The 13691-nt window shown below is 38.4% G+C and overlaps 2 protein-coding genes across 5 annotated transcripts in view; both read left to right on the forward strand.

Moving 5' to 3' along the window:
• The window catches only part of RIPPLY2-CYB5R4 (RIPPLY2-CYB5R4 readthrough), a 114064-nt gene extending 105009 nt beyond the window's left edge, over positions 1-9055 (forward strand). For all 4 annotated transcript variants that reach the window (NR_174604.1, NR_174605.1, NR_174603.1 and 1 more), the window contains one exon: positions 1456-9055. Coding sequence is in view for 1 of the 4 variants with exons in the window: in NM_001400774.1 (NP_001387703.1) it covers positions 1456-1510 (55 nt within the window). In the remaining 3 variants the exon portion in view is untranslated. The remainder of the gene's footprint in view (positions 1-1455) is intronic.
• The window catches only part of CYB5R4 (cytochrome b5 reductase 4), a 107735-nt gene extending 98680 nt beyond the window's left edge, over positions 1-9055 (forward strand). Inside the window, exon 16 of the mRNA NM_016230.4 lies at positions 1456-9055. Coding sequence (NP_057314.2) covers positions 1456-1510 — 55 coding nt within the window. The 3' untranslated portion in view covers positions 1511-9055. The remainder of the gene's footprint in view (positions 1-1455) is intronic.
• Positions 9056-13691: the final 4636 nt, after the last annotated feature.

Here is a 13691-nt window from a genome sequence, read left to right on the forward strand (position 1 = left end):
CAGGAATTCCGGGAGAGATGGGTTACTTTTACCTAGCGATGTGTGTGTTGGAGAGACAGGAGCTGCATGGTCAAAAAAGTCATGTGCACAGCATGTGGACTAAAACCTACCAGTCAAGAGAGATGGAGAAGGGGATAGTACAGGCAGGGAGAACTGGCAGATGCATTAGGGGTGCAGATTTATACAAAAGACTAGACTGGTTTGGCTAGAGTGAAGCTGCTTGCCTGGGAGAACAGGATGGAATGGTAGCATGGGCCCAGATACTGAGAGGCTTTACTGCTGCACTGTGTTGGCTTCAACTCCTGTGCCCTACTGGCCCTTTGTGTGAGTATGTGTATGCCCTCTGGGAGCTGCCAGCTGGGGTTTAAATCCCAGGTCTACCACTTACAAGCATCTTACAATCATTTGCTGGGTGTCCTAGGGCAGTTCTTAACCCTTCTAAGCTTTAGTGCACTTATCTATAAAAATGAATAAATAATAATACCTATGCATGTGAAGTGCATAGCAAAGTGACATTTATAATAGAGTAAGTGGTAAAAAAGTAGTTATTATACTATTTTCCTAGTTGAACAATACGCAGTATTTCTGCTTTTCCTGTTCAGTAGGGGGAGAATGAAGATAGAATCGTAGGGGAATCAACTCCTTTCTTTGAAAACTGGTGAATAAAGGGGAAAAAAATCAAACATTTATTCTCCCTTTGTTATATGAGCCATACTACTGAATAATCACATAATAAATGAGCAGACATTTTTCTTTATAGGATTCCTCAGCTGATTAATGAATAAAGAATGATAGAAGTAGAATATCACCAATTGCAGTGCTTAATGAACTAATGGATCTATACATAGATCATAATGGTAGCTAGCACTCAAAAAGAGAGGCAACCATTTATTACATGCCTCCAGATAGAGGAACATTACCTGTGAAATAGTCTTGTCAAAAAGATTTGAACCTGTGTCTGATCAAGCCTCTAGATCCATATATTAAGTTATGGAAAATATGAGGACATAAAGACATATTATTAAGGAATACCACAGGGATGTAGAAAAATGAAGGTTTTAGGAGACTCAACAAATAAAAATCTGATTTTTGTCAACAAATAAATTGCAGGATGGAGTGGGGGTCTGGGGGATCTTACAGATCAAAGGATGCCTAAAAGACTTATCAGCCAATCATAATGAGTAAATTTTAATTGGCTATTGATTGAAACTATTTTTTAAAATTATGACATTTATGAGCTAGTTGAAAATTTGAGCACTGCTTAGATATTTCATGATATTTAGGAGTTACTAATCACTAATTTTTTAAGAGGTGATAGTGTTTTTTTATTTAAAAAAAACTACATAGTGAATGGGGAAAATGAAAAAGTATCATGATTATGGTGGTAAACTGCTCTTATTTCTTCATTTTAAAGCATTTTCCCTAAGAAACATGTGCTTTTTATTTGTTTTTCAGGTTGCTGCATGATCTCAACTTTTCCAAAAATGAGATCCATAGTTTTACAGCATAATGAAGAGCTGTCATTGTCCTTTATTCAACTAGTTTATCTAAATTTGTGATTGCTTAGGGTTTTTTAAGAGAACATTTTTGTACATAACAAAAGGTTAACTAGAATCCAGCCTTCAGTTTCTTAAATGAAATCAAATGTTCCTTCAGTACAGGTAACTTCTTGGCTTTCTTTTGTACCACAACTTATTTTACTACTGATATTTGACCTGGAAAGTTAATCATGGCAACAAATACATACAGGATTCTTTGTTATGAATCACAAATTTCCTTGCCATTTAAATTATATCACTGTTCTACAATAAGCACTTGTGTTTTATGACATGATAAAGTAAATGATCACTTCGATCATGTTTCTATGCTGTAAAATGTCTTATTAGCAATACAGATTAAATTTTACCTTGCACTGTTAACTCAGGAAATGATCATTTATGTCCTTGTTATTAATGTTAAAACATAGAATGTTATAACTTATTAAGTGATCCAAACATTTTTTTGTGTGTGTATGGCATTGATGCAGAATAGAATAAAATTATACTTAAGTTCTTTTTAATCCTTGTGGTAGAAATGTGGTTGAATGCAACAATATTGGGCCAGCGTCTCAAGGGGAATTTTAAAAGGCAGCAATAAAATATATTAGAGACATGACACACATGCGCCTTTGGACTAGGTGTGTTAACAGAGCTTGAGAGAGGGAACCTTGACAGCTATTTTTACTCTTAGCCAAAAACAAAGACATTAGGAAAGAGAGTGAAAGTATAGTGTCTAGTTCCACAGCATAAAGTTATTATTTGGTGCTTTGGAATGGGTTGAATTTTAATTCTTTAGTCCATCTAAATCAGCTGGAAAAATGAGGAACATTCTGCCTTGAATGGTTCTTCCCCTGGTTGGCTGCTTTCTCCACAACTGGTGGTTCAGCAGGAAGCCCTCTTAGGTTCTTGCATGTGGGCAACTTATTTTCTCTTCCTGCTGCTTTGTGCAACTGTCAAATACTTTCACAGATTCAGATCAGCAAAGGGTATCAAGGATAGTCATTGTGAGCTTTTCGTGAGGAAACTGTTGAATGCATAGGTAGCTACTGTATAAGCTAACTAGGATTTTTCAGTCTTAGTACAGCTGCAATGTTTTCACAGAAATAGGGGATTGAAAGAGTCTCCAATTTCTCTGTAAATGATTTTGTAAACAGCTAAATCTTTGCTGAATGAATAATATACTCAAGAGGAACACAATATTAATATTCCCCAAATTACAGACGCCCAGCTTGTGAAGCTTCCTATGTGCAAATGGCTGGTTGAACACTATCACTTTTTCCTGTGCCTCTGTCTTCTGTAGCCAATTCCACCATCATCATTATTCACAAAGACAGGAATCTAGCTGTCCTGGACTGGTACTGTTCCCTGGTAGGTAACAAGAACTTTTTCTAGCTTCATGCCTTCCCCCTACTTATTTTTTTCCATCTAAGGGTGAGGTGATTTGGCTCTGTGTCCTCACCCAAATCTCCTCTCAAATTGTAATTCCCACATGTCGAGGGAGGGTCTTGGTGGGAGGTGATTGGATCATGGGAGTGATTGCCCCCATGCTGTTCTCATGATGGTAAGTGAGTTCTCATGAGATCTGATGGTTTAAAAGTGTGGCACTTCCTCCCCACCTCCTGCTGTATTATGAAGAAGGTCCTTGCTTCTTCTTTGCTTTCTACCATAATTGTACATTTCCTGAGGCCTCCCCAGCCATGCAGAACTGTGAGTCAATTAAACCTCTTTTCTTCATAAATTACCCAGTCTCAGGTAGTTCTTTATAGCAGTGTGAAAATAGACTAATATAAAAAGAGACTATTTACCACTTTTTTTTAGTTCATTTGCGATGTATCAAATCTAACTTAGCCAACATCTTTCTCATCTTTTCTAAGCCTCTTCTTTTTTCTCTCTCCTTTCCCAAGCAACAGAATCTCCTATTAGTCGCTATATGTAATGCTTCCTCATTCCTCCTTTTATGTTTTATATTTTTGTTTATATTTTATTTATATTTTGTTTATATTTTGTTATATTTTATTATATTTTGTTATATTTATATTTTGTTTATATTTTAAAACAAATCCATAAGTGTCTCCTGGGTAATCTCCACTGACATGATTTTATCAACTTACATGTTAATTCCCAAATGGGAGTGACTAATTTGAGAATCAGCTGAGCTTCAGTTTTCAATATCCATTTACTTCCTGCATACCACCCCACCATCCACCTAGTAAGCCATTCTAGAACTATTAGGAATCAACATCAATGTCCCCTTCTCCAGTCTGACTCTTCCATACCAGCTAACCCTGTCCTATCATCCCTCAGCTGGATTAGTACAGTAGCTTGATAATTCATCTTCATGCTGCAGTCCTGATCTCCTAAAATTCATTCTCCATTCCAGGGTATTCTAGAAGGACTTGGAGGAAAAAATCCCCTAAGTAGAGCCTCAGTCTTCCAATGAATGCAACCAAATACTGAGGAGCACAGATAGGAGTATAGTTTATCACTGTTATTCTCAAGCAAATAACTCAAAGACTCCTACATCACATATTTGCAGTGAAGAAGAATTACGCTCAAAGTCACATTTGCTTGCAAATTCTGCTTTTTTTAAAAAAAAGTTTATTAATTTTCTATTGCTGCTAGATCAAATTACTACAAACTTAGTAGCTTAAAACAACACCCATTTATTATCTCACAGTTCCATGGCACAGAAATCTAGGCACAATATGGCTCAACTGGGTCCTCTGCTTAAAGCCTCACAAGGCTGTAATCAGATTGTCAGCTGAGCTGGGCTCTTAGCTAGAGGCTGTAAGGGGAAGTCCCTAGATAAGAGTTCTTTCAGCCTCATTAGGTAGATTTCAGTTCCTTGCAGTTGTAGGACTGAGTTCCCCATTTCCTTGCTAGCTGTTAGCTGTGGGCTAGTCTTTGTTTCTAGAATTTGCCCACATTCCTTCTCATACTTTCTGTGTGGCCCTCTTCAGCATTAGTGGATGAATCTCATGCTTTCAGTCTCTCTGAATTCCCTTGTGGGCTTCTTCAGCATTGGTAGATGAATCTTATGCTTTCAATCTCTCTGAATTCCCTTTCTGCCATATCTTTCTTGCCCTAGCAAGAGTTCACTGCTTTTAAGATCTCATGTGGTTAGATTGGACCTATCCAGATATCCAGGGTAATCTTCCTATTTTAAAAATCTATAATTTTAATTATAGCTGTAAAGTCCCTTTTCCTATATAATATATTCAAAGGTTGCAGGCATTTGGGTGTTGACATCTTTGATGGGCACATTGTGTCTACCACAGGCTATAGAAAGAACAGAGAAATTTGTCCAAGATAAGATGATTAGGTTTTGTCTAGATAGGGGCCCTTGCTATGGGCCCTCAGTTTTTACCTTAATGTAACAGAACATGAGAGGAGCTTTGACACCCACCCCAAAAGAGTCAACTTCATTATGCTGGCAAAGGCATGGGTACAACCTGCTCTGTGATCTACCTTCTGAACCACACAAGCTTGTCCTGAACGAGGTTGGGGCTGAGTCTGTTGATAACAGACCCCCATTTTTGGGCAGAAAAAACAGATTCTGTATGATCTACAGTATTTAACATTGTGGCAAATAAATTATAAAGGAAAAATGGAATCTCAAGTAGTTACAGTCTCTTGGTGTCTTTCAACATTGGTTTTATTTTGAAGTCATTTTCACCCAGCATTGCAAGTTTAGCAGACCTCAAAACAGAATGCCAAAGTGATCTTAAAATTCAAAAATGAGTTTACTTTCTTTGTTAAAGTTCTCTTTTGATGCATATCCCCCATTCATGGAATGGAAGCATTATCTTGGGTGCAGCATTACACGTAGAGTTAAAATGTGGAAACAACCCAAACATCCTGATATGGTTTGGCTCTGTGTCACCACCCAAATCTCATCTTGAATTGTACTCTCATAATTCCCATGTGTTGTGGGAGGAACCCAGTGGGAGATAATTTGAATCATGGGGGCAGTTTCCCTCATACTGTTCTCATGGTAGTGAATAACTCTCACAAGACCTGGTGGTTTTATCAGGGGTTTCCGCTTTTGCATCTTACTCATTTTCTCTTGCGGCCGCCATGTAAGAAGTGCCTTTCACCTCCTGCCATGATTCTGAGGCCTCCCCAGCCATGTGGAACTGTAAGTCCAATTAAACCCCTTTTTTTCCCCAGTCTCAGGTACGTCTTTTATCAGCAGCGTGAAAATGGACTAATACAGTAAATTGGTACCAGTAGAGCAGGTGTTGCTGCAAAGATACCGGGAAATGTGGAAGCAACTTTGGAACTTGGTAACAGGCAGAGATTGGAACAGTTTGGAGGGCTCAGAAGAAGACAGGAAAATGGGAAAGTTTGGAACTTCCTTGAGACTTGTTGAATGGCTTTGACAAAAATACTGATAATGATATGGACAATGAAATCTAGACTGAGGTGGTCTCAGGTGGAGATGAGGAACCTGTTGAGAACTGGAGCAAAGGTGACTCTTGTTATGATTTAGCAAAGAGACTGGCGGCATTTTGCCCCTGCCCTGGAGATTTGTGGAACTCTGAACTTGAGAGAGATGATTAAGGGTATCTGGTGGAAGAAATTTCTAAGCAGCAAAGCATTCAAGAGGTGACTCAAGTGTTGTTAAAGGCATTCAGTTTTAAAAGGGAAGCAGAGCATTAAAATTCAGAAAATTAGCAGCTTGACAATGCGATAGAAAAGAAAATCCTATTTTCTGAGGAGAAATTCAAGCTGGCTGTAGATATTTGCATAAGTAACAAGGAACTGAATGTTAATTTCCAAGACAATGGGGAAAATGTCTCCAGGGCATGTCAGAGACATTTGTGGCAGCCTCTTCTATCACAGACCTGGAGGTCTAGGAAGAAAAAATGGTAAAAATGGTTTTGTGGGCAAGGCCTAGGGTCCTTGTGCTGTGTGCAGTCTAAGGACTTGGTGCCCTGTTTCCTAGCCACTCCGGCCATGGCTGAAAGGGGCCAACATGAAGCTCAGGCCATGGCTTCAGAGGGTGAAAGCCTTAAGCCTTGGCAACTTCCATGTGATGTTGAGCATGTGGGTGCACAGAAGTCAAGAAATGGGGTTTGGGAACCTCTGTCTAGATTTCAGAAGATGTATGGAAATGCCTGGATGCCCAGGCAGAAGTTTGCTGCAGGGGCGGGGCTCTCATGGAGAACCTCGGCTAGGGCAGTGCAGAAGGGAAATGTGGGGTTGGAGCCCCCTCACAGAGTCCCTACTGGGACACCGCCTAGTGGAGCTGTGAGAAGAGGACCACTGTCCTCCAGACCCCAGAATGGTAGATCGACTTACAGCTTGTACCAGGTGCCTGGAAAAGCTGCAGATACTCAACACCAGCCCATGAAAGCAGCCAGGATGGAGGCTGTACCCTGAAAGCCACAGGGCCAGAGCTGCCCAAGACCATGGGAAGCCACCTCTTGCATCAGCGTGACCTGGATGTGAGACCTGGAGTAAAAGGAGATCATTTTGGAGCTTTAAAATTTGACTGCCCCACTGGATTTTGGACTTCCATGGGCCCTGTAACCCCTTTGTTTTGGCCAATTTCTCCCATTTGGAATGGCTGTATTTACCCAATACCTGTACCCTCATTGTATCTAGGAAGTAACTAGCTTGCTTTTGATTTTACAGGCTCATAAGTGGAAGGGACTTGCCTTGTCTCAGATGAGACTTTTGAACTGTGGACTTTTGGGTTAATGCTGAAATGATTTAAGACTTTGGGGTACTGTTGGGAATGCATGATTGGTTTTGAAATGTGAGGACATAAGATTTGGAGGAGCCAGGGGTGGGATGATATGGTTTGGCTCTGTGTCCCCACCCAAATTTCATCTTGAATTATACTCCCATAATTCCCATGTGTTATACGTGGGACCTGGTGGGAGATAATTTGAATCATGGGGGTGGTTTCCCCCATACTGTTCTCATGGTAGAGAATAAGTCTCATGAGATCTGATGGTTTCATCAGGGGGTTCCGCTTTTGCATCTTACTCATTTCTCTTGCTGCCACCCTGTAAGAAGTATTTTTAACCTACCGCCATGATTCTGAGGCCTCCCCAGCCATGTGGAACTATAAGTCCAATTAAACCTCTTTTTCTTGGCTTAATTTCTTGGGTATGTCTTTATCAGCAGTGATTCTATTCCTATGAAATGTCTAGAACAGGAAAATCTATGAGACATAAAGTAATTAAGTGGCTGTTCAGGGGATACAGGAATAGGGGATAATAACTAAAGGGTTGGGAGGGTGTTTTTGAAATGCTAAAATATTCTGAAGTTTACTGTGGTTATGGTTGCACATACTTATGAATATACCTAAAAATGTTGAATTGTACATTTTAAGTAGATGAATTGTATCTAATTTGAACCATATCTCAGTAAAGATATAAAAATGTTTTTGGGTACTAAGACTAAACTAGAAAGAACATAAGAGGAAATACATATTATATAAGAAGAAAAGAGTAAAAATAAATCTTTAAAAAAATAAAAATAAAAAGGAGGCCTGTGTGCGGTGGCTCATGCCTGTAATCCCAGCACTTTGGGAGGCCGAGGCGGGTGGATCACCTGAGGTCGGGAGTTTGAGACCAGCCTGACCAACATGGAGAAACCCTCTCTCTACTAAAAATACAAAATTAGCCAGGTGTGGTAGCATAGGCCTGTAATCCCTGCTACTTGGGAGGCTGAGGCAGGATAATTGCCTGAACCCGGGAGGCGGAGGTTGCGGTGAGCCGAGATTGCACCTTTGCACTCCAGCCTGGGCAACAAGAGTGAAACTCCATCTCAAAAAATAAAACAAATAAAAAGGATTCTAGAGGAAGTGGTAAATAGTGAAGATAGGCAAAGAATATCCAACATATGAATAATAGTAGTCCTTGAAGACAAAAATCAAAGGAAAAGAATACTAAAAACTCTACTTAATGAAAAATCATCCTGAAATTAACAAGAAAAATTGAAATTAATGTTGAAAGAGCACCAGAGAGTATACATCCAAAAAGACCAACATTAATATAAATTTTAGTAAAATTACTGAACCATGAAAAGTAAATGCCTTTAGTTATCTAAACAAAAACTAATTACTTAAAAGGGAAAGAAAATTAGATCATCACCAGACTTTTCAACAGCATTGCCTTATGCTTTAAGAAAGTGTTGTACCACATTTGATATCCTGATGGAAAAAAATGTGAGCCAAGGATTTTACACCCAACAAAACTTAATGGTGAATATAAAGGCATAAACCAATATAGAATGCAAAAACTTGGGAAATATTGTTTTCCAAAGCCTTTCCTAAGTAATCTACAAAAGAACAAGCTTTAAACAACCAGAAAGACTAGAAAGTCATCAATAAAAGGATTGGAGAACATTAAACTTGTAGAACTAAAACAAAATGAGAGTTAAAAAAGAAAGAGTATAGGTATATGCTAAACTATTTCAGTAGTTTTGGCAGTGGTTGTATTAGTATTGTTATTCTGAAGATGTGAAATAATGCAAACGCATAATAAAAAATGTCATCTGGTCTCCAGTCTCTCTGTATTTTCCATTTAAATATTTCTGGGGTGAAGTGGATTAAAATTAGCTCTGCTGATCAAACTATTATTAAACTTTGAGAAGAATTTTCACTAAGTTAAACTCCTAGAGAACTGGGCTGTGAGATGGAATCAAAGGTTCACAATACTACCTCCCTCATGGTGTAGTCAGACCACACAAGATCTTTCCTATTTTTTTTTTTCTTAGAGTTTCACTCTTTTTGCCCAGGCTGGAGTGCAATGGCACAATCTCAGCTCACTGCAACCTCTGTCTCCTGGGTTCAAGTGATTCTTCTACCTCAGTCTCCTGAGTAGCTGGGATTACAGGCACGCGCTATGATGCCCAGCTAATTTTGTATTTTAGTAGGGACAGGATTTCACCATGTTGGCCAGGCTGGTCTCAAACTCCTGACCTCAGGTGAACCGCCCGCCTCAGCCTCCCAAAGTGTTGGGATTATGGGCATGAGCCACCACGACAGGCCACAAGATCTTTCCAGAGGAGAAAATGGCAATTTCACTCTTCTTTGTGAGACTGATTTTTAAGGCAATCACAGTTTCTGTCTTATCCACTAGTACTTCACTCTACACCTAAAGATTGTTAACTCCCCAAAATAATTTTATATGAACCAGGTGGAAGACTATCAGAAGCAACATGAGTCCTGGAAGGTGTAGTTTCCATAAGTAAAGTTCTCTGAGGGGGAACAGGAACAAGAGGGTTATTAGTAGTTTATGCTAAGGGTTTACAACATTCATGCTTTCAGTTTTTTTCAGAATGTGAGAAAACCAGGCTTGAGAAAATCATATCTTAGATAATCCATGCTAGGAAAAAAACAAGTAAACACTGGGAATTAAGTTAGGAGTTGTGCGCGTGAGCCATCTAGGTATACATCTGAAAAGGAATTAAAACAGCACCCAAACAGGCAAAGAATAGGGCCAAAGACAGTTTATATACCTATCTGTTGAGAAGATCAAGGCAAGGTTACTCCTCATTCAAAACTGAGCAAATTTTAAAAATCCACAATAGGATTTATTCTAGCATAATACAAAAATATAAGGAAAGGAGGAATATCATTCCAAGGATCCTGGAGGAAGAGCAAAGCTATTTTCATTGGTTTTACTTTGCACTTGTCTGATGTCTAACCAAGTTGAACATGTTAACACATGCTCATTGGCTATTGGTGTATTGTCTTCTGTAGGGCATCTATTTAATCTTTTGCCCATTTTTAATTGGGTTGTTTTCATATTGAGTTGTAAGCTTTATGTATTCTGGATACAGGACCTTGGTCAGATATGTTTTGTGAACATTTTCTTCGAATTTGTGATAAATCTTATGTGCATTTTTGCAGTTGTTAGTGCTTAGTTCAAGAATAAGCTTAGAGAAATATGTCAATTTGTTTGACCAAAATAAAAATGTAAAATAAGTAATAGTACATGCAGCAACTGTGAAGTTGATGTGTGAATAACTGAAACAAGGAAGAACTCCAGTGGCAGAGTGGGGAGAACTTTTGGAGCAGATAGACCTAAAAGGCAAGCAATTAATGACAAACAGGGCCATGAAGAGACACCTTCAAGTTTGGTCCAGTAATATACACATTAAATCATGAAAGCCATAATTCTAGCCATGAAGGCAAAGAACATACAGACATTGCATAAGCTTGGCTAGGTTAGAAGAAACAAACCACTTACATGTTGTAGTACATTTTGTTCATTGCTTTATAAACCAAAAAGTATCTGAGACAGGTCTCAATCAATTTGTAAGTTTATTTTGCCAAGGTTAAGAACATGCCCAGAAGAAAAAAACACAAAGTCACAGAAACAGTCTGTGGTCTGTGCCTTTCTCCAAAGATGAATTTAAAAGCTACAATATTTAAAGGGGGAAAGTGGGCTGCAGGGGAAAAAGGGAAGGGATAGTAATCCTCATGTTGCAAGAGAAAAGGAACAGGTAGGGGAATAGTTAATTATGTATTCATCGCATGCGCAGTAAATCAGCACTTTACATAAGATAAGGTGAACATAGAGTAGCTATTTGGAGATATTTATCCTTTTATATGTAGCTATTTGCTTAGGAACAAAAGGAAAGGTAGCATCTTGCATGACACAGCTTTCAGCTTAATTTTTTCCTTTTGGCATGGTGAATTGGGGTCCAAGTTTTTCTTTTCCTTTCACACTTATCCCCCCTTTCATTTTAAAATCTTTCAGAGAAGGCATTTTAAAAGAACTGAGTCTCTGGTCTTGGCTTTTGCCTGATCTCTTATGACTATGACAGTTTATTCCTAGATGGATAGGTCCCATGTTGTTAGGCAAGCTCATTTTAAGTAGGTTGTGAAGTCCCACATCCCATGAAGTAGAATTAGGGGGAGTAAGGGAGAAAGAGAACAGAGAAAAAAGGAGGAAATGAGAAACAAAAAAGGGAGAACAATCCTAGAAAACTGATACAGGCCATATTACCCTGAAGTCCATATATCAGTAGGCAGGTATGAAAATGGTTTATGTATATAAATATGTTGCTGTTATTTTCCATTGAAGTTTAAGTTGTCTAGCTTCGGTTCACAGGGCTTTAAGAAAAGTGCAGCTTAATTTTTTTTAGTGATTTCAAATCTGGGAAAATGGGAAAAAGGAAAAGAAATTGAAAACATTATTTTGGAGCTTTGTAGCTACAAAAAATTTAGGATTCAGTCCAAATTGCAGAAAATAATAGAAATGGAAAAACACTGGACAAGGCTAGAATGTATTAATAATAACAGGTGTACTGTAGTTTATTTTTAAATGTAATTTTTCTCTCTCCAATTCCCCAATTTTATTAAAGACAAAATGAGAGTAGTACCAATTATTTGTAAAATAAGTTTTAGTCTTACTATACTTGGCTTGATTATTTGCATAAAGTGCAGCAAGAGTCATCATTTGCCATATAGGCTCTCTTTAAAAAAAATGGCTTTGCTGGAAACTTTTCCATAAGGAATCTTTTTAAAAGTCTCAAGCTCAGCCAAAGATTTATCTGTGCCCACAGATAACTGAATGAATTGGGTTAATTCCTCTCTTTTTGAGGTCCCAAGAAAACTTGGGGTTCCTGGACCTGTCAGAAAGTGACATTCCTTACTTACCAGAAGTTAGAACCCTGTAAAGGACAAGATATGAGGCCAGCTATTCCAAGGGGCTCTTATCAATTCCATAAGTCAGCCTCATTTTCTCAAGGCCATCTGAAACTATGTCATTCCAGTCAAAAGCTTCATAAAATAACCATGTCTCCAGTTGTGTCTGGTTATGAAATAAATTCTTATTGAACTTATGCAAATAACTATATTGCCATAAGTTAAGAATACTGACAAACAGTTTCCAAATTTTGGAGAAATTAGGTAGAAAGAAATTATGTTTTAAATCTTGCTCATTAGAGTATACTTTGCTCAATTTTTAAAAGCTATAAATAGCTTAAAAGAAGAGAAAGTTTTCTTGACTCTGACAAAAAGTATCAGCAAATGTTTATTTACATTATCTACATTAAACTTGTAGAACTAAAACAAAATGAGAGTTAAAAAAGAAAGAGTATAGATATATGCTAAACTACTTCAGCAGTTTTGGCAGTGGTTGTATTAGTATTGTTATTCTGAAGATGTGAAATAATGCAAATGCATAATAAAAAATGTCATCTGGTCTCCAGTCTCTCTGTATTTTCCATTTAAATATTTCTGGGGTGAAGTGGATTAAAATTAGCTCTGCTGATAAAACTATTATTAAACTTTGAGAAGAATTTTCACTAAGTTAAACTCCTAGAGCACTGGGCTGTGAGATGGAATCAAAGGTTCACAATACTACCTCCCTCATGGTGTAGTCAGACCACACAAGATCTTTCCTATTTTTTTTTTTTCTTAGACAGAGTTTCACTCTTTTTGCCCAGGCTGGAGTGCAATGGCACAATCTCAGCTCACTGCAACCTCTGTCTCCTGGGTTCAAGTGATTCTTCTACCTCAGTCTCCTGAGTAGCTGGGATTACAGGCACGCGCTATGATGCCCAGCTAATTTTGTATTTTAGTAGGGACAGGATTTCACCATGTTGGCCAGGCTGGTCTCAAACTCCTGACCTCAGGTGATCCTCAAGTCATAAAATAGTATTTCAGTATTCAGTCCTGTTCTGCTTGATATTGGATCAGTAAACTTCATGAATACATTTGGCTCTCCATAAAAGTTCTGGAAATTTTTCACTCTATTCCAATGGCACAATTTCTGTATCTTTTTTTTTTTTTTTAAGACGGAATTTCGCTTTTGTTGCCCAGATGGGAGTGCAATGGCTTGATCTCGGCTCACTGCAACCTCCGCCTCCTGGGTTCAAGTGATTCTCCTGCCTCAGCCTCATGAGTAGCTGGGATTACAGCCGCCCACCACCACGCATGGCTAATTTTTTGTATTTTTAGTAGAGATGAGGTTTCACCATGTTGGCCAGTCTGGTCTCGAACTCCTAACCTCAGGTGATCCACCCGCCTCGGCCTCCCAAAGTGCTGGGATTACAGGTGTGACCCACCATTCCTGGCCCAATGGCATAATTTCTAAATTTATCAGAAACCTATATTTAATAATACTCCTCAGAGTTATAGCTGATTATAAACCACCCTATAAAAGGATCAAAGTAAGACAA

The sequence above is a fragment of the Homo sapiens genome, chromosome 6 (genome assembly GCF_000001405.40).
Source record: "Homo sapiens chromosome 6, GRCh38.p14 Primary Assembly".
NCBI lineage: Eukaryota > Metazoa > Chordata > Mammalia > Primates > Hominidae > Homo > Homo sapiens.